This window comes from Homo sapiens, chromosome 3 (genome assembly GCF_000001405.40).
Source record: "Homo sapiens chromosome 3, GRCh38.p14 Primary Assembly".
Taxonomy (NCBI): domain Eukaryota; kingdom Metazoa; phylum Chordata; class Mammalia; order Primates; family Hominidae; genus Homo; species Homo sapiens.
Window position 1 is genome coordinate 15,253,764 of NC_000003.12, and position 17,238 is coordinate 15,271,001.

Consider the following 17,238-nt stretch of genomic DNA (forward strand, 5'->3'; position numbering starts at 1 on the left):
CACTTTCATTCTCTGCGAGAAGTACCTAGAAATTTCTAGTTATTAGACTGTATAACTTGACTCTGCTGTAAAAACTTTATCCTAGCTTGGGCTATTTTCCAGATGGTGTTTCTTCTAGGAGGAAAAAGAATTGCCTCAATTGCAGGGAAGTTTTTGCTAATGGTAAGTCAAGCAAGTCTCAGTGTCTTTACTACAGGTAAAAGGGTGTAAGGAGATTTTATGAGAACTGAATGAACCCTGAAGGTCACTAGTCAAATTCAGGTATGCTGTTAAGTGTTCTTGCTTGAGACCCAAATTACAAGACTGGCCAATTTTTGTATTTTTGGTAAAGACTGGGTTTCACTATGTTGCCCAGGCTGGTCTCGAACTCCTGGGCTCAAGTGATCCACCAGCCTTGGCCTCCCAAAGTGCTGGGATTACAGGCATGAGCCCTTGGGCCCAGCCGGCTGTTTAATGTTCTTAAATAGCACAAGGGACTTCTATGAACTTTCCTAGATGAAATATTTATTAACTACTAGGTAAAACACTTGTTTGATACTGCAAAGGGTTATTTCTGAAACTTAAACCTCATGATTGGCCAACCAAGAACTTTTTCTCCACAGCATGCTTTAATAATGAAATGCGGATTAAGAGTCCAATATTATAAAACATTTCCACAAAAGAAAGAATCCATCTGATTCTCAACTCTGAATGCACATTTGAATTCCCTCGGGGAGCTTTTAAAAGTCTAATGCCCCAGTGTACCCCCCCCAGTTAATTAATTAAATAATTCTCTGGGGATGAGAACTGACTGACAGCAACACTTAAGCTTCGAGACTGCAGTGTGCAGCCGAGGCCCACTCCTCCAGCGTCACCACCTCGTCTTTATCTGCCACTGTGTCTCCTCATTGCCCACAGCTTTAGCAACAGCAAAAGTAGAATTCAAACCTTGGTAAACAAGGCTTAAATTATTACTGTTCATGACCTTAATTAATTGAAAATGATTACTGGTGACCACAGCACTCCATGCTCTTCCTTATGGAAAAAGGGTTGCCTAGAAGATTTAGGCAATACTGGGAGTTCTTATTTGAAGTCACAGAAAGGAGAAACTTTTCTCAAGCCGTTTTTATTACACTTAGTGTATTAAGACAAGTACAAAATAACCTTGTAATTAAGATACTGTATCAGTCAAAAAAGAAGTCACTATTGTATGAAGAGATTTACAAATGACTAAAATATACAGGCTGTGACAGAATTAACAGTTTGAAAGAGGGTTGCTTTTTTCTTTTAGAAATGCTAAATTTTCTTAACAAGACAAAAATACAGTGCTCTAAATATGCATTACCATGAAAACGTTAAAGAAAAGCAGTCTTAACACTTAACTACTATTAACAGCCTTTGCCAACACATGCCTGCCTACTCCCTTTCCTAACTTTAAAGAACTGTTTCCTCTAAGGAATACTAGTGCAGCATAACCCTTAAATAATTTCATTTATTTTTAAAGTTACAACCTACAGAGAAATTAACATCTTGTCAATCTAATAACAGTGGCAACCATTCTTCACATGCACTTCTCTTAGAATAAATCCCCTTGGCTGGCAGGATAAGGCTTATGCTGTAGAACCTTCTCCCCCACAGCCACAAATCCCCTTCTATAAGTCCCTCCTACCCTCATCCCCCCGCATCCCCACTGGCATTCACCTTTCCCACCCCAAAAAGTGCAGCTCATGGTAGCCTTCTAGAAAATGGTTTTAATGGGTATCCCAGCATACACGCTTTTTTAAAAGCCCCCTCTGAACACCAGAGGTGGTGAAAATGAATTGTGTTCTTGGATTTTTTTTTTTTTAAGCCTCCACTGGGTCAAAAATATGTGCTCTTAATACTTGAGTTTTTGCTTTGTGTGTGGGTTTTCTTTCTTTTTCATTTAGATATCGTGGGATAAAGTGGAGAGGACATCTCCATTTTCCCATACAAACTGAGGGTGAGAAGAGAAAGAGAAGCAAGCTGTTGCCCCCACTTTGGCCTGGCTTCCCAGCCATCTTCCCAGCTCTGGTTCTTTCATAGGAACTAGTTATTGCTTCCACAATGCCGTTATACGGAATGTTCCACAAAGGCTGTGAACCTAGTCACAGTCTACCCACAACAAGAACTCTGCTCTGAAAAACCAGCCCAAGAGCTCTTACCCAGAAGAACAATCTTTAGCCCTCAAGGTCACTGAAACTTCATTAGAGCAGTTTAGAGTAGACGTGTAAGATTTGGCATATATTAAATGATTATTGGCACAATGTTCTCCAGTTCCATGTATAAATGTTGATATGCACATCGGCCAGGGCCCAGGATGAATCAGCCAATCTGCACCATTTTTATGTCAGCAATAATTCCATCTCTTCCCTTTGAGCACTGTAGGGAGAGCTGCTTCATCCGGTTCTCCAAGGCCTGGCCCTCAGGGGAGGTGCTGCTTTGGCTCTTACTGCTGCCACCACTGCCACTGCTACTGCTGAGGCCCCGGTTGTTGTTGGCTTTGTCACTTGTTTTATTCTCTGCCCCTTCTGCCCTGTCTCCTATAGAAATACAAGGATTATCAAAAGTGAGTATTGACAATTCTGCCCTGTCTCCTATAGAAATACAAAGATTATCAAAAGTGAGTATTGACAATTCTAAGTCACTTGAGCTCAAACCAGTCAGCTAACTCAGCCCTGTAGAAGTCCCACTGTTACCTACCGTGCCTATCAGAGAGGTTCTCAGTACATAATCATTTACTGCTTTTATTCCTTGTGATGTTTTATATATTCCTTAGCTATAGAGATGAAATTTGCCATATTCACTTTATTGCTGAGAAACAAACCTCTCTACTATGTGCTTGCCAAGGAGACTGTTCTGATGTGAGACATAGGACCTAAGCTCTACTTTATAGAAGCTGAGTGGAGCCAGGAGCCCCCCCAGAACAGCACTTGGAAACAACCTCAGTGATCAATACTGACAGCACAACCACAGAGACCTGGTAATGCAGCATGGGGGCCCTGAGACCTGGCAGAGGTATGGAATGGCACAACAGTCAGGCTACAGAGGCAGTGTGGCATCTGGGACGGGGTGAGAAGGCTGCTACTCACCTCGTTCTACTTCACATTCAGGGGAGGAGGCCCCGCTGCATTCACTTCGAGGGCCCAACACTGGGAACATCATCCCAAACTCTGACAGGGACACAGGGCTGGGCAGATCCAGGCTGCCAGGCCTCACAACCGCAGGGAACTGGTCAGGCATCTCAGACGGGCTTGTTGGTCCTGAACTAAAGCTGGACACGGACTGGGTTTCCGAGTCATCTTCAGACACAAAGTTGCTACAGCTGTCATCTTCAAAGGCCTCCGAGGCCACTAAGTTGAGAGAGAACACCAGTCACATGGGTTCTGTCACCTCCTCAAACACCACAAGTGCTTGCTGCTGGCAGGCAGCTAGACACAGCATGGGGGACTAAAGAGTCTCTACCTCTGTGAGTGCCTAATGAAGGAATGTGACTTCCCAAGCCTGAATGACCAGCCTCTAAAGCAGCTGGAAGGGAAGCAGCTGGCAGCAGGATCCCATGGATATTAAGCGCCCTTCCAATAACCTTATAACCCTGCCAAGAAATCAGTGTCACCAGACACCACCTAAAAATGGAAGATTAATTCAGCCACAAATTAGGACCTTTACTCCACCTCAGTCCCCCAAATACATCCTCATGTGCACAGGAAGAGGTTCTAGTCCTCTGTAACATATCCCAAACAAAGCCAGCTGGACTCAGGCTTCTTTCTTAGGGCAATAGAAGCAAGAGCTGCTAGAAGAAACAGGCCAGCATGGAACATCTGTTGGGACCTTTGTTATCTCCAGGTAACTTCTGATCTCATAAAGAACACACTCAAAGGCTACCCACATCACCATTTGCTGCAAAAGAACAGAAATCCTTTACAATGCTCTGTAGCCACATTATTTGGTAGACCAAAGTAACAAGGCCCAGACACATGTTATTCCCATGGTTTCAAAGCCTCTTTGGCCTTTAGCGGTTTTCCCTCAGCCTGCCCACAATCCCACTCCTTATTAGAACTTTCCTACTCCATTTTTCCCCCCCTTTCTCTTTAAAAACAGCCTTGTAGCATTCCATAAAGGTTTCTTATAAATGATAAATACTGTAATGTTGGGGACAGAAAATGGGCTCAGACCTGAATTGAATCCCTAACTCCACTACTTGCTGTGTGACCTTGGTCAAGTTACTTTACCTCTGTAAGCTTCATGATCCTCTCCATGCAGGGTTTGAGATGATGTATATATTAAAGTACCTCATACATAGTAGTTGTTCAAATGATAGTTTCCTTTTCCTTTACCTTGAACCTAGTACTTAAATATTTGTTGAAGGAATTAACTCCTGAGGAAGGAGCTTGGGAAAGAGCCGACAGGGATTATTGCACAGGTAAGGAAAAGAAAGGAAGTATGCAAAGACAGCGTTGGGTGGGTTTTCTTGATGAGCATGACAGAAACCAAGTCAAACTTCTATCAGTTTTCCAGGGGGAGGCCCTGGGAAAAGAGGTCTCTATGGTCAGATGTCAGTAAGAGCCACCATTTGCTGAGTGCTTCTTGGGTGTCAGGGGTTGATTCATGTAAGCTGAACCACCACCCTACACAACGGATAGTATACAGTAGATAGCGTCATACTCCCCATTTTACAGGTGAAGAAACTGAAATACAAAGTTAGGCCCTTGCCCACATCATGCCTTAGTAATGATGTAAAGGTAGCTTTGAATCAAATCTGATTACAGCTCTTCTTTCCTGCAGGACTTCTCAGCCTTGAATGTTCAAATGTATACTTTGACTCTCAAAGAGGAGTGAAGGTGTAACATTTTCCCAATTTATTTGACCACAGAATCCTGACTTTGAGGAACACTTAGTACCTTCTTAATGAACACAGTGTTCCATAAAACATGGGAACCCACCAGAAATAGCCCTCAGGCCTGCCCAACTCTGAGACCTTTCACTGATGGCCAGAGAAAGTGAGGACCTTGGGAAACAAATCACACAGTCTGATATCTCCCCACATACCCAGTGGAGCCCCTGACTTACCAGAAATGGCATCAGGCTCAGGTTTGCTCCCTGGCAGATCCTCCACAGATGTGCTGCTGCCCTCAGCACCAACACCGCATCCCCGAGGCCCCATGGCACTGGAGCGCCGCCGCTCGTGGATCTCATCTGAGATCATCTCCAGGTTCTTCAGGGCCATCTTGTACTCGCCTTTTGCCAGGGTCAGTTTGGCCTGCAGGTCATCCACAGTCTTTTTCAGTTGCTGATCAAGAGAACAGGAGACTAAGTGAAGACTACCCTGCTAGCCTTAAGATGCTTTCTGAATGACAGGTTCAAGTACATTTTCTGCCCATCATTCTACTTCAAGGAATTTTCCAAGACATGACTGAAGACCTAATTACCATTGTAACTGCTATTCATTCACCAGACAAAATCAGCCACCACCATCCCCAGATCCCATCCAGGTGACAACCTCTAATATCCAAAAACTCTCACTGGTGGAACAAACCCCATCAGGGAAGCAAAAATGGGCATCAGACACACCAAAGTCCCACAGTCTAGACATCTGGTTCCCAGTACAGTGGTTCTCAAAGTTGAGCTTGCATCAAAATCCCCTTGGGTGTTAAGACTCAGCTCACTAGACTCCAACCTCAGAGTTTCTAATTCAGTCGGTCTAGAGTGGGACCTGGTCTATCAGGTCTCCAGGTGATGCTGATGCTGCTGGTCCTAAGAGCATGCTGTGAGAACCACTGGCCTAGTACAACAGAGAAGGTGACTGAATGGCAGTTACAGAGGTTCAGAGACCACTGAAGACCCAACCGAGACAATTTTGAGGTCTGAAAACTCAGTAAAGCCTGTCTCTCCACTTTCCCCTTATAGCAAGTGGCCCATGTGATACTCTGCTACCCCAGAAAAGTGAAGCTTTGAGTGCAGAAAAATCTCATCAGTGACGAAGCCCAAAGCTACACATACCTCGAGCTGCACATAGTACTTTGCCTTGAGTTCAAAATAAGGCCTGCAGAAGACAGGAAGGAAAGCCATCAGAGTAATATAATACAGTGACCACAGTCAACTCCACAAGATGAACAAGAGGCATCAGCTACCACTGGCCAGGTCGTCCTTCCAATATTTAGTAAACTCTTAACAAGGCCGTGACATGTCAGTGATGCTCCTAGCTCTGGAGACTGACAGACACCAGATGGAACGACTGGGCTCACCCAGGGCTATATTAACAGGAGGCCCATCTCAAGACACGGGGAACCCACACACACATATCTTGGGGACTCTGCAACTTAGCTCATGTTCCTCCTCTGTGGGAAGGCTGTTCAGAGCCTCACAGGTTATACCCAGCAGTAAGGGTGGCCTGGATCTGCTCTCCTAATGAAGTTGGCTCCCCAGGGATGAAGAGCAGCTGAGGCTGGAGAAGGGGCTGCTTAAACCTCCTCCTCTACTGAAGTCAACTGGGGAAGAGAGAGAAGCACCACTCCTCCCTCACAGCACAGCAAGGCCACCACTAGGAGGGGGTCTCAGGTTGGTCCTCCCAAACCTTGTCCAAAGACTGGAGTTATTAGTTGGCTGACTCAGCCACATAATGGGCCCAAGAAATGCCAGCGTCCTAGCAGTTCCCTTGGTTCTGGGTCAGCTGAAAGAGCTTGGCTCTTTTTTAGGAACTTTGGTGCCTGAACATTAAGAGTAGATCACTGCTTTATTCTTGAGCTGTTCACCCTCCATGAAGCTCTCAAGTCCTGCATCCTGAGGATCCAGATGGATGACAAGGACACAGGACTGCCATTGGTGGGTATGAAAATCCTGAAATTTGGGGGGAGAGAGAGGTGTATAAGCTCTCTCGTGTGACCAAAAGGAGCACAAGGTGAAGAGTATGTGTGTGAATGGGCATCGGAGGGCACAGGGAAGATGTCCCAGCAAAAGGAACATGAGCATCCATGCAAGGGAGTGTGGCTGGAGAGGCAGGGTGGGCATGGAGGTGGCCTGGAAGCCACTCTGTGGAATGCACAGATGTACATTTTAACCTTTGGGCAGACAGGAGCCACCCAAGACTACGATCTATCCCTGTACTCTTCTCGGAGTCTGAAAAGGTTGGCAAAGTACAATCACAAGATTTATTTTCTTAAACAGGTTAATGGATGAGTATGTGATGTGTGTGCAGTGTGAATTCGGGGTCTTTTGAGAAAAGACCCACCATATTCACACCAAAGGAAGCAGCATCAAAGGCTGCTCCTCGGCCTCCTTGGGTGTTGGCATGTGGATGATGCCTGGGCTTGCCCAGAGCAGGCACAGGTCCTACAACAACCCTCGCCACCTCCTGCCTCCCCTGCAGAAAAATGCCATATACACGTCTACTACTTAGCTCTCAGGAGATCAGCCCCTGACACACCAAAAACCAAACCAAAACAAAAATACACTAGTCAATTAAGTGCAATAGTAAATGGTTAAATGGTGTTCCTCTGCATGTATGTGTACATATGTATGTTGGAAGAGTGTGAGCAGAAACTAAAGAAAAGTCAAGCCTGGGTGAAGGTACTGGGGGGTAGTACAGAGCCTAGGAGGACCAAACTCTTCCTTGCAGATCCTCTTCCTCACTGAATTGTCACCTTTCCCTCACTTGCATGAGGACTGGGCATCTGCCAAGCTTCCAACTGCCCAGCCCCTCCTGGCTGGGGCTGTGACCACACCTGGAGAACAGGCATTCAGTAGCCCTGCACAGCCTGCTCTGGGTCTATCTTTGGCTGTTAAGTCTAGGTCATCATAAGTCCTCCTCCTTTTGCTAGGAGGCCTAGCAATTGGGAATGAAGCAGGGGGCTTGTCCCCAAGAGAGGGTACACAGTTGTGCCTGCCCACCATTATCAATGTTGTATAAAAATATACAGGGCTGTAGTGAGAAGAGATTGGAGAAAAAAAAAAAAACTCTACTAAAGCCAGTCTTACAGCATTTTATCAGCTCTTGATCACAGGAAACATGTATTGTGAACACAACTCATCCCTATTACACTGACAGATAAATTGAGGGATAGGGCCTTGACAACACTGTCAACCACAGATCCCAGAGTACAGCGTGAATTTACCAAATCCCAGCCAATGGGCCATTTAATAATGTGCCTTTGAAATTCCTTTTTCTGTGTTTCCTAACTTAGTCATATCTAGAGCAGCCCACCCCTTAGCATCCTCTGCTTCTGGGGGTCATAGAATATTAGGGGGAAAGAGAGCCTGAGCAGGGGGGCTCTGGTGAGGCCCCAGGGTCTACATCAAAGGACTACTCAGGGTGGTCCTTGAGTGTGTGACATACAAAAGGCTGAGAAGATGCAGACTAGGACAGCCGCACGGCCCCAGGGAAGGCCCTGTCCAGACTTACTTGGACTTGTTGATGGCTCTCTTGAGTTTCTTCTCCAGCTGTCGCATGCGGCCCATGGCGGCATTGTACCTGGCTGCCGTCTCCTTATGCACCAGCTCGCTCCTGGTCTTGGTCTGCTCCGCCTCCATGACCTTAAAATGACAGCAGAGTTCAGCCCAGTCCAGCCCAGAACAGCCCAGGCTTGGAATATTACTTATATTATTTTTCAAAAAATATTCTTTGCCCGGGCATGGTGACACATGTGTAATCCCAGCACTTTGGGAGGCCAAGGTGGGTGGATCACGAGGTCAGGAGATCGGGACCATCCTAGCCAACATGGTGAAACCCGTCACTGCTAAAAATACAAAAATCAGCCGGGCCTGGTGGTGTGCTCCTGTAGTCCCAGCTACTCAGGAGGCTAAGGCAGGAGAATCACTTGAACCCGGAGGCAGAGGTTGCAGTGAGCCAAGATCGTGCCACTGCACTCCAGCCTGGGCGACAGAGTGAGACTCTGTCTCAAAAATAAAAATACTCTTTGGGCCAGGCACGGTGGCTCACACCTGTAATCACAGTCCTTTGGGAGGCTGAGGTGGGTGGATCGCCTAAGGTCAGGAGTTTGAGACCAGCCTGGCCAACATGGCAAAACCCCGTCTCTACTAAAAATATAAACATTTGCCAGGCATGGTGGCACATGCCTGTAGTCCCAGCTACTTGAAAGGCTGAGGCAGGAGAATCACCTGAACCCAGGAGATGAAGGTTGCAGTAAGCCGAGATCACGCCACTGCACTCCATCCTGGGCAGCACAGCAAGACTCCATCTCAAAATATATATGTATATATAGATATCTATATCTAGATATATATTTGAGCAAATTAGTGGTCAGACTAAGAATAAACCAACTTCCCAACAGTGGTTTTCTTTTCCTATTTATCTATTTTGAAAAAGCCTTGTGAGGAAAGATTAAATAGCTAAATTGGCTGTGGCAATGACTGAGAAAGAAAATGGAAAAACAAAAACCAGAAAATTTTGAACTATTTTCTGATTCAACAGCTGTCCACTTTCTTCTCAGGTTCCTCGATCTAAGTAGCCACCTAGACCTCCTCCCGTTCACACCTTGGGGCAGGGGCCTGATGGGCAGGCAAATGGCCAAATAGCAGCAGTGGGAACCTAAGAGATGGGGAACCTAATGGGGAGACCACCAAAACCAAGAACTAGGCATCGTGCCAGGCACGATGGCAGTCAAGCCAGCAAAGCAGCCATGACTTCCATTGTTTGGTCCTTTCCCAAATATTCTGAACTAGTTGGCTGTGCACAGAAGAACTCAGGATCCAGAAAGGGCAAACTTTACATTTAAGCAATTAAATTAAAACCCAGTCATTCACATCAGATTTTGAGGTACACAAACATTTGTGAGCAGAAGACAAGTCAAAGTTCTGGTGGGAAATTCTGGTGGGAACACTTTGTTAAGTCTGTTGAAAAAAATGAGTTACAAAACCAATACTCAAGGGCCCTCAATGGCCAAAAAACAAAAGCAGCTCACAGGCCCAGTCCCAGAGACATGGGCAATGTTAATTCTCTCCTTGCTTACCTACAGAAAAGCATCAGAACAAGGCCTGCCTTGAAGAAAGAGGAGGGAAACAAACCGCAGTTCAGGCCACATAAGCAGCTTGCGATTTCTTTCCCTGTCTTCTGCCTACCACTCAGTGTTATAAAATAAACCGGAGAGACAGTAGAGGTTAGGCTAAAGGGTTATTCTCTAATTCTGTATTCTCTGGGGAGCATCCGAGAGGAGCCCAGAGGGCTCATGGTCACTAGTCAGCTCTCTCAGACCCCGTAGAACAATTTTAGGGAGGTACCACCATGTCTTTAGTTCACAGTTAAAAAAGAAGGCCACAGAGGAAGGTTGCCAATGTTCTACCATCTCCTCCAGTCAACAGCCACAATCAGCCCTAGGATAGTTTACTTATTACTTACGATAAGGATTTTTAAAGGTACCATGAAAAATTATGAAAGACTTTTATATGGGCATTAAAAATTACAGGGTGTCCTGTCTAGGGCACCCTTCCAGGCTATCTCTGACTTTGTCTTGAAGCTGTTTTACAACCCTGTAAGTTGTAGAAAACTGACAGTAATACAAATGGTTTTTTTTTTTTTCCAGAGAAATGAAGATGAACTGTGTCACAGATGCAGTGGATTACTGACTGCCCTTGTAATAGTCCATTTTGCATCTGTTGGTAATTCATTGAGGCACTCTTGGTTTTCTATGAGTTTGTATTTTTTGAATTCAAGAATTGTAACATCACTGTTAGATCCCTCCTTATTTAATGAGAGAAATAAAATATTTGACACGAGAAAATTTTATATTTGTATCCCAATTATGCTTTTACCTTCTTAAAAATATCTTTTAACAAAGGCTTCAGTGCTTCAGATAATTTTTAAAAACAGAAAAACAACAAAATCAGAGAAGAAAAATAGGAGAGAACTGAGCTAAGCTGGCACGAGGAGACATGCTTGCTCACATGACTTCTCAACCAAGACCAAAGGGCTAAGAGAATCCTTTCCCTTTGCTTCCAAAACCAGATATTTCACAAGGAAACAAAATGCACTAAAAATATCTCATGCTTGATACTTGGGGAAACAGCAGTAAATCTTAAGCTTTAAGGATTTACTGGTATAACCTTTATGAAAACTCAAACCTTCAGGTTCATCAAAGACAACATGTTGGGGGTGATTGTTTTATTACAAAAAGATCCAATTAAAGGTTTACCTTTAAGGAGCTGTCAGAATGCATTTTCAACAGACTTGTAGAACCTGTAATTTGAGGGTCCTGTACAGAAAGAGTCCCCTGTAAGAAGCAGGATTCTCACCATCTGCACACAGGCCCTCATTCTATCTTGGCCTCTAGGCTGCAAGCAGAAGCACAGGCTTTCTACAATAAAACACTTGGAAAGCTCCGAGCCCATGGCAATACTGGCAGTGAAAACTGAAGAAGTGGCCAGCACATCACTGTCCCCTGCTTCGCCCCACCAGGCCACGTCTACCACATCCTGTCCCTATCTCCCCACTTCTCATATATATACAAAACCTCCAGGGCAGCCAGGTGCGATGGGGCTCATGCCTGTAATCCCAGCACTTTGGGAGGCCAAGGCGGGCAGATCACTTGAGGTCAGGAGTTCAAGACCAACCTGGCCAACATGGTGAAACCACGTCTCTACTAAAAATACAAAAATTAGCTGGGTGTGGTGGTTGGTGCCTGTAGTCCCAGCTCCTCAGGAGGCTGAGGCAGGAGAAAAGCTTGAACCTGGGAGGTGGAGGTTGCAATGAGCCAAGATCGCGCCGCTGCACTCCAGCCTGAGCTACAGGGCGAGACTCCGTCACACACACACACACACACACACACACACACACACACACACACACACAACCCTCCAGCTCCTGGAAGAGACCTCCACACAACTCAGCTTCCTGCCTTGAGGAAGAAGGTCACTAAGCATGTCGCCTTGGTTATGTCTCCTAGGTAATCAAGGAGCTCCTCTATCTACAGCCTAGCATCAGGCATGAGCTGTGTGCAGTGATGTGGGTCAGGTGTGGTGGGATAAGTAAGGAGGAGAGCGGCTCAGGGGTAGGTGTGGCAAACTGCACCCCATACTCCGGAGCAGCATACTCCGGAGATGCTGAAGATCCAGGGACCACAGAGATACTGCTCAGCCCCGGACCCTGCTCATATCAGCCCACAGAAAATAGCAAACACCCGGCACCTTCCCGCATGGGCACCACTGGGCACTGATTGGGTGTTTCAATCTGGCTTGGCCAGCCTCTTCGCGGGGTCCCACACCAGCAGAATGGCCCAACCGGCTTAGTAGACATCCACCAGGCACAGCTCCTCAGCCTCCTGTTACAGCTTTCTCGACTCTCCAATCTCCAGGGCCTTTGCACCCTCAGTTACACTCCCAACATCTCTTCCAACATCACAGAGGGGCGGTCAGGAGCCTCTTTGCCCAGGGAGGCAATCTCACTGTCTGCTGAGAACCTCCATTCTGACTGTTTCAGACTGTTTCCTGATTCTTACTGCGTCCTTGGGCAATGAGACCTAAGAAGGCGCTTCTTCCCACTGTGTGGAAGGGAGGCGGTTCACACCCACCAACGTCAGGGAGGCTGTCGTGAGCAGCTCCTCACCTGCCATCCCAGGCTCATATCCACTGTGAACCAGGAGAAGGGCTGGCCCTGCGTCGTGTCCTCTCCAGCAGCCACCTGGGGCTAGTTCAGAAACAGTTCGTGCCTCTCATTTCCAAGTCACATTTCCCTCTTCCTCTGTCTGAGCTCTTTCAGCAGACATCAGAAAAGCCAATTTCTCCCTCCCAGGATGCCAGCCCTCCTCTCTCAGAGGATGAAAAGCTATCACCTTCCCATAAAGGCTACTTCAGTGCCAAAACAGCTGAGGCTGAAGGGGTCCTATGCTGCCCAAGCTCCCCAGCTGGAGAGCAGCAGGGACCCCAGGCCCTGTGCCCCAAGGAAGGCTGCTCAACTACAAGGTTGGCAGCTCTGCCACAAGCTACTTGTATTTTCCAGAGTCCTCATCAACCCCAGCACTAAGCAGAAAACTGATCCTTTGTCCCTGTCTGTGCCACTGCATGTGGCCTAACAGAGCACACCAGGGCTGCTGCCACCTCCTAGTATATCGGCTTCAGCCATGGCTCCAAGTGTGGCTGCCTGATGTCACCACAGGAAGTGTGAGGGGCCGCATAGATAATCTTGGGCACGTTACGTGGGAACCCCAGTGTCCCGCTGTGCCTGGAGGGATCGTGTAGTCCAAGCCACTGCCATTTCTTCAAGACAGCCCTGGGCCTTTCTGAGCACGGAATTTTCTTTTATTAGACCCTTAAGTAATACTTTGGAAGAAGAGGGTGAGATGAAGCTCCCTTGTTCTACAGAAACAAGCATCCTAGAGTACCCAGAAGGCAGACAAGGGAGGAGACATTCTCTAGCCCTTTGATCACACAGCTTTCAGCTGGCTGAGCATGCCAGGCCCGTGAGGCTCTAGGAGGGGTCAACATGAGCACCACTGGGGGAAACGCTAAGTCCAGAGAGTTCCCAGTTACTCGACACTGTTTCAAAGCCAACCATGCAAGTGTGTGTCCTGGAGAAAGAATTATGTTCTGCATCATCCATTACATTCGGAGAGCCTGCTCTGCACGCTGAAATTCTGAGTGGCACAGGGACGTGATGGGGGAAAGCTTTGCCACAGGCTTTTGTCTCTTGCTGGTGTCTGTTTTTAACTCATCTGTTCAATGAGGGGCATTTCCAGCCTATGCAACTGTGAAGGGATCTGGGAAGAGGAATATCAGCTCAAAGGTGGAAATCCTGGCATGTGACCCGGAACACCTGCCAATCTGCAGAGGTTGCCCCCAAGCCCAAGAAAACCAAATGGGCCCTTCCCTTCAGTGGCCACAGAGAAGGCACATATCAGCTGGCCCTCCCAGGGCCCTATGAAGCCCTCATGACCTCAGGAGTACAGGGCCATCTTGTATAGCCCCACAGGTCTTGCACTGCACAACTCCAAAAAGCGCTATTCCCAAAGTCTGTGGTATGAACGGTGCCCTGAGTTATACAGTGTGGAGGTCTGGGGATGCCACTCCTTGGGAGGCCACCCACTATCCACTGGGGCCCTGGGACTTAAAAATGAGAGATACACAAAGCAGAAGCATGGTTTGTTTATCTTTAAACAACAGATTAAATGACTTCTGAAATGCTTGCTTATAGGCTGACATGGGTCTCCAGCTGGGGTGGAAGAAGGGCAAAAAGGAAAAGTGGCCCTTCAGCTAATTTCTTGGAAGAAGCTACCTTACATTTTGTCCTTTTCATATCTATCGGGCTTTGGCTTGTGAACTTCCAAGATTTCCAGCCACCCCTTCCATTTTTCTCGAGATGACCCAGAAAAGTTGTTTCTAGCCCACGTCTAGCTCTGTGAGCATCACGCCCACTAGGGGGCAGGAGGCGCAAGGCCACACAAAGCCAAGCTCAGCCGAGAGTCTCAGGCTGCAGGGAGAGGTGCGTAAAGTCAACGCGGATTTGACTCTTGAAGTCATTTGTGTGCCAAGCTTTCTATTTAAGGAAGCACAAGGCCATCTTTAATTATCAGATCCCCCAGGACTTGAGCCACTGTGGCAGGTGACATTTAAAAGGGAAATCCTATTGGCATTAACCTGCTGACTTTTCTAATCCAGTCCCCCAGACGGCTTTCTCAAGGAGTCACCAAGACCTCTTGCAACCCCGTACCCGCGCCGTCCAGGGTCTTATTGGAGCTGCTGAAGCCACAGGTCAGCTCACCCACCCACCCTGCAGCAAACCAGCCCTACACTCGTTTTCCAGGCGCTGGGAATCTAGACAGAGAATGCAGAGGGGCACAATGGACCCAGGCTGGTGTGGGGGGATACCAGGAACATGAGCCTGGGCAGCCCAGGAGCCAAGCCTGGAAGGGGGAAGAGGTATCCAGGAACATTCTGCGTGACTTCTAAGAAACCCGATAGAGTTAGGCAGGGGTAACCAAGTACTGCTGAGCCAAGAACTGTCCCTAGCTGCTATGGTCTGAACATTTGTGTCCTCCCAAAATTCTTATGTTGAAACTGATCCCCAGTGTGAGGGTATCTGGAGATAGGGCCTTTGGGAAGTGATGAGGTAATGAGGGTAGAACCATCATGAATGAGATTAGTGACCTTATAAGCTCATGTACCCCTTCCACCGTGTTAGGACATGGAAAAGATGGTCATCTGTGAACCAAGAAACAGGCCCTCATGAGACACTGAATCTACCAATGTCCTACCTACCAATGCACTTCTCATCCTCCAGAGCTGTGAAAAATAAATTTCTATTGTTTACCAACTACCCTGTTTATGGTATTTTGTTTAGTATTTTGTCTTGGCCTGTACAGACTAAGGCACACCATTTCTGGCTCTGAGTAACGCAGTCAGAGAGGTGGTCATGAGAGCCAGTAAAGAACCCAATATAATGACATAAAACCCAGCAAGCCAAGCTGTGAGTAAGGATCACACACAGTCCGCTTCCTCTGTGCCTGTCAACTCCCTGAATCCCAGCCCAGAAGGCCTGTCGTAAGTACACACCTGATTCTGGTCTAATCCGCCATGACCCCTGCCTTCCTCCGACAGCACATACCCGAAGTGCAGCCCCCATTTAGGGCTGTTCATCAAGGTCTCCCCATCACAGATTCGAAACCCAGCCAGTATTGCTGGGGTTCCATGGGAGCAAACCCTGGAAAACCTCGTCCCTCTGGAAGCCTGAGTCCAGTCAAGACCCCCTGGGGATGACCCAAACCAGACAAACCTCAAGCAACATAAGGGAAGGAGCAGCTCTCGCTGTCACGGAGAGACACTGTGACTCATTCTGGAGCACTGGCTTCGTACCAAGCGCAGCCAAGAGATCATACGGAGATGACAACCTGTGATTTTCAGGGTGTTTTCAGGCAACATGCCTGGGAGTCGAGTCTGTTACCTCCGCTCAGGGGAAGCCAGCGCGCATGCACGCGCACACCCCCACAGCACACCCGGCCATGACTCATACCCTCTGAGTGGCGTGATTCAGCATCTCCTGCCAGGCGGAGTCGAACTGCCGCTTGTCATCCTCCAGCAGCCGCTGCTCGGCCAGGGAGATGGTCTCCTTGGCGGCACGGAGCACCTCTGTGGCCCTCTGGAAGTCCTGCGTGGCTTTCTGAGCTTCCAGCTGAGCCTGTGTGAGAAAGAATCCTCATGAGGCCTCAGAAAATGGCAGGGGCTCCCCATGGTCCATTTTACCTTTCAAAAAATAAGCATCCCAAGGACCAGGACAAGCTCATCTCTGCCTCTTCACTCCTGGCACCCACAGGTCCTCATAGATGCCAGACAGGGCAATGGACCCCTGATGGGGGAGTGAGCAACAAATCAGTGAGCGAACAATTTCCACAGTTCTGGGCCCAATGGATGAGATAAACACATCAGCCCTTGGCCAGAACCTGACATGGCAAACCAGCCCATCGTGGGACAGGTACAGCCAACCCCACAGCCTTTCTCAGAAGCTCTGCCTCACTCGAGGCCTGTCACCTTCCCTGCCCAGATCTGTGGCTCAATTCATGGCAAGTCAGAACCAGGAAGGCCCCCAGAGATCATGGTCCAAAGACTTCACTCTATAGAAGGGGGACCTTAGCTGAGAGGACACAGCCTTTCCTGAGATCACACAGCTGACTAGATGCAGAGCTGTGCCAGACTCCAGCCAGTATGAGTTCCAGCCCAGCACTGTCACTCTGCCAGACAGTCTCCCACTCAACTCACACCCACTGACACCAGCGACAGGCCAAGTATGGCACCAGGCAGGCAAAGAGAAGGACCTAATTAATTAACACAACACGGTCCCTGCTTTCAAGGAGCATCAGGTGGGAGAACCAATACCAACTGTAGCTGACCACCACGTCTAGAGCTGCCCCCACTACATGTGTCTACTGATTGTTCAAAATGTGATTAATCCCAGCCAGGTGCAGTGGCTCACACCTGTAATCCCAGCACTATGGGAGGCAGGCGGATCACTTGAGGTCAGGAATTAAAGACCAGCCTGGTCAACATGGTGAAACCCCATCTCTACTAAAAACACAAAAATTAGCCAGGCATGGTGGTGGGCACCTATAATCCCAGCTACTTGGGAGGCTGAGGCAGAAGAATCACTTGAACTCAAGAGGCAGAGGCTGCAGTGAGCCGAGATTGCACCACTGCACTCCAGCCTGGGTGACAGAGTGAGACTCCATCTCAAAAAAAAAAAAAAAAAGTGATTAATCCCAATTGAATGTAAGACATCCCTAATCTTAAAGACTTAGTACAAAAAAA

At 47.6% G+C, this 17,238-nt stretch overlaps 1 protein-coding gene and 1 long non-coding RNA gene across 10 annotated transcripts in view, besides 6 other annotated features; one reads left to right on the top strand and one right to left on the bottom strand.

Annotated features, from left to right (window-relative positions):
• The first annotated feature begins 420 nt into the window (after positions 1-420).
• SH3BP5-AS1 (SH3BP5 antisense RNA 1) lies at positions 421-10,735 on the top strand. Its single transcript, NR_046084.1, has 3 exons — positions 421-3,843; positions 4,871-6,819; positions 10,533-10,735. It is a non-coding gene; the product is annotated as an SH3BP5 antisense RNA 1 (long non-coding RNA).
• The window catches only part of SH3BP5 (SH3 domain binding protein 5), an 87,028-nt gene continuing 70,379 nt past the window's right edge, over positions 590-17,238 (bottom strand). For 7 of the 9 annotated variants that reach the window (NM_001018009.4, XM_011534251.3, XM_047449240.1 and 4 more), the window contains 6 exons: positions 15,950-16,114; positions 8,396-8,526; positions 5,998-6,040; positions 5,068-5,287; positions 3,090-3,350; positions 590-2,540 (listed from right to left, as the gene is read on the bottom strand). In NM_001018009.4, coding sequence (NP_001018009.2) covers positions 2,323-2,540; positions 3,090-3,350; positions 5,068-5,287; positions 5,998-6,040; positions 8,396-8,526; positions 15,950-15,973 — 897 coding nt within the window. In that variant the 5' untranslated portion in view covers positions 15,974-16,114 and the 3' untranslated portion in view covers positions 590-2,322. The remainder of the gene's footprint in view (positions 2,541-3,089; positions 3,351-5,067; positions 5,288-5,997; positions 6,041-8,395; positions 8,527-15,949; positions 16,115-17,238) is intronic. The other 2 variants (XM_047449242.1, XM_047449241.1) reach the window with 1 other exon arrangement.
• Positions 14,180-14,719: an enhancer, noted in NCBI's record as "H3K27ac-H3K4me1 hESC enhancer chr3:15309450-15309989 (GRCh37/hg19 assembly coordinates)". NCBI's record gives its function as "activates a minimal SCP1, AML or CMV promoter by ChIP-STARR-seq in naive H9 embryonic stem cells {active_cell/tissue: H9 hESC(naive)}" and the evidence as "EXISTENCE:reporter gene assay evidence [ECO:0000049][PMID:30033119]".
• Positions 14,283-14,392: a silencer, noted in NCBI's record as "silent region_14102". NCBI's record gives its function as "represses an Ori minimal core promoter by ATAC-STARR-seq in GM12878 lymphoblastoid cells {active_cell/tissue: GM12878}" and the evidence as "EXISTENCE:reporter gene assay evidence [ECO:0000049][PMID:35858748]".
• Positions 14,720-15,258: an enhancer, noted in NCBI's record as "H3K27ac-H3K4me1 hESC enhancer chr3:15309990-15310528 (GRCh37/hg19 assembly coordinates)". NCBI's record gives its function as "activates a minimal SCP1, AML or CMV promoter by ChIP-STARR-seq in naive H9 embryonic stem cells {active_cell/tissue: H9 hESC(naive)}" and the evidence as "EXISTENCE:reporter gene assay evidence [ECO:0000049][PMID:30033119]".
• Positions 15,438-16,637: an enhancer, noted in NCBI's record as "MED14-independent group 3 enhancer chr3:15310708-15311907 (GRCh37/hg19 assembly coordinates)". NCBI's record gives its function as "activates an origin of replication core promoter dependent on BRD2, BRD4, P300/CBP and CDK7 cofactors, and independent of MED14, by STARR-seq in HCT116 cells {active_cell/tissue: HCT116}" and the evidence as "EXISTENCE:reporter gene assay evidence [ECO:0000049][PMID:35650434]".
• Positions 15,705-15,754: an enhancer, noted in NCBI's record as "active region_19528". NCBI's record gives its function as "activates an Ori minimal core promoter by ATAC-STARR-seq in GM12878 lymphoblastoid cells {active_cell/tissue: GM12878}" and the evidence as "EXISTENCE:reporter gene assay evidence [ECO:0000049][PMID:35858748]".
• Positions 15,815-16,114: an enhancer, noted in NCBI's record as "active region_19529". NCBI's record gives its function as "activates an Ori minimal core promoter by ATAC-STARR-seq in GM12878 lymphoblastoid cells {active_cell/tissue: GM12878}" and the evidence as "EXISTENCE:reporter gene assay evidence [ECO:0000049][PMID:35858748]".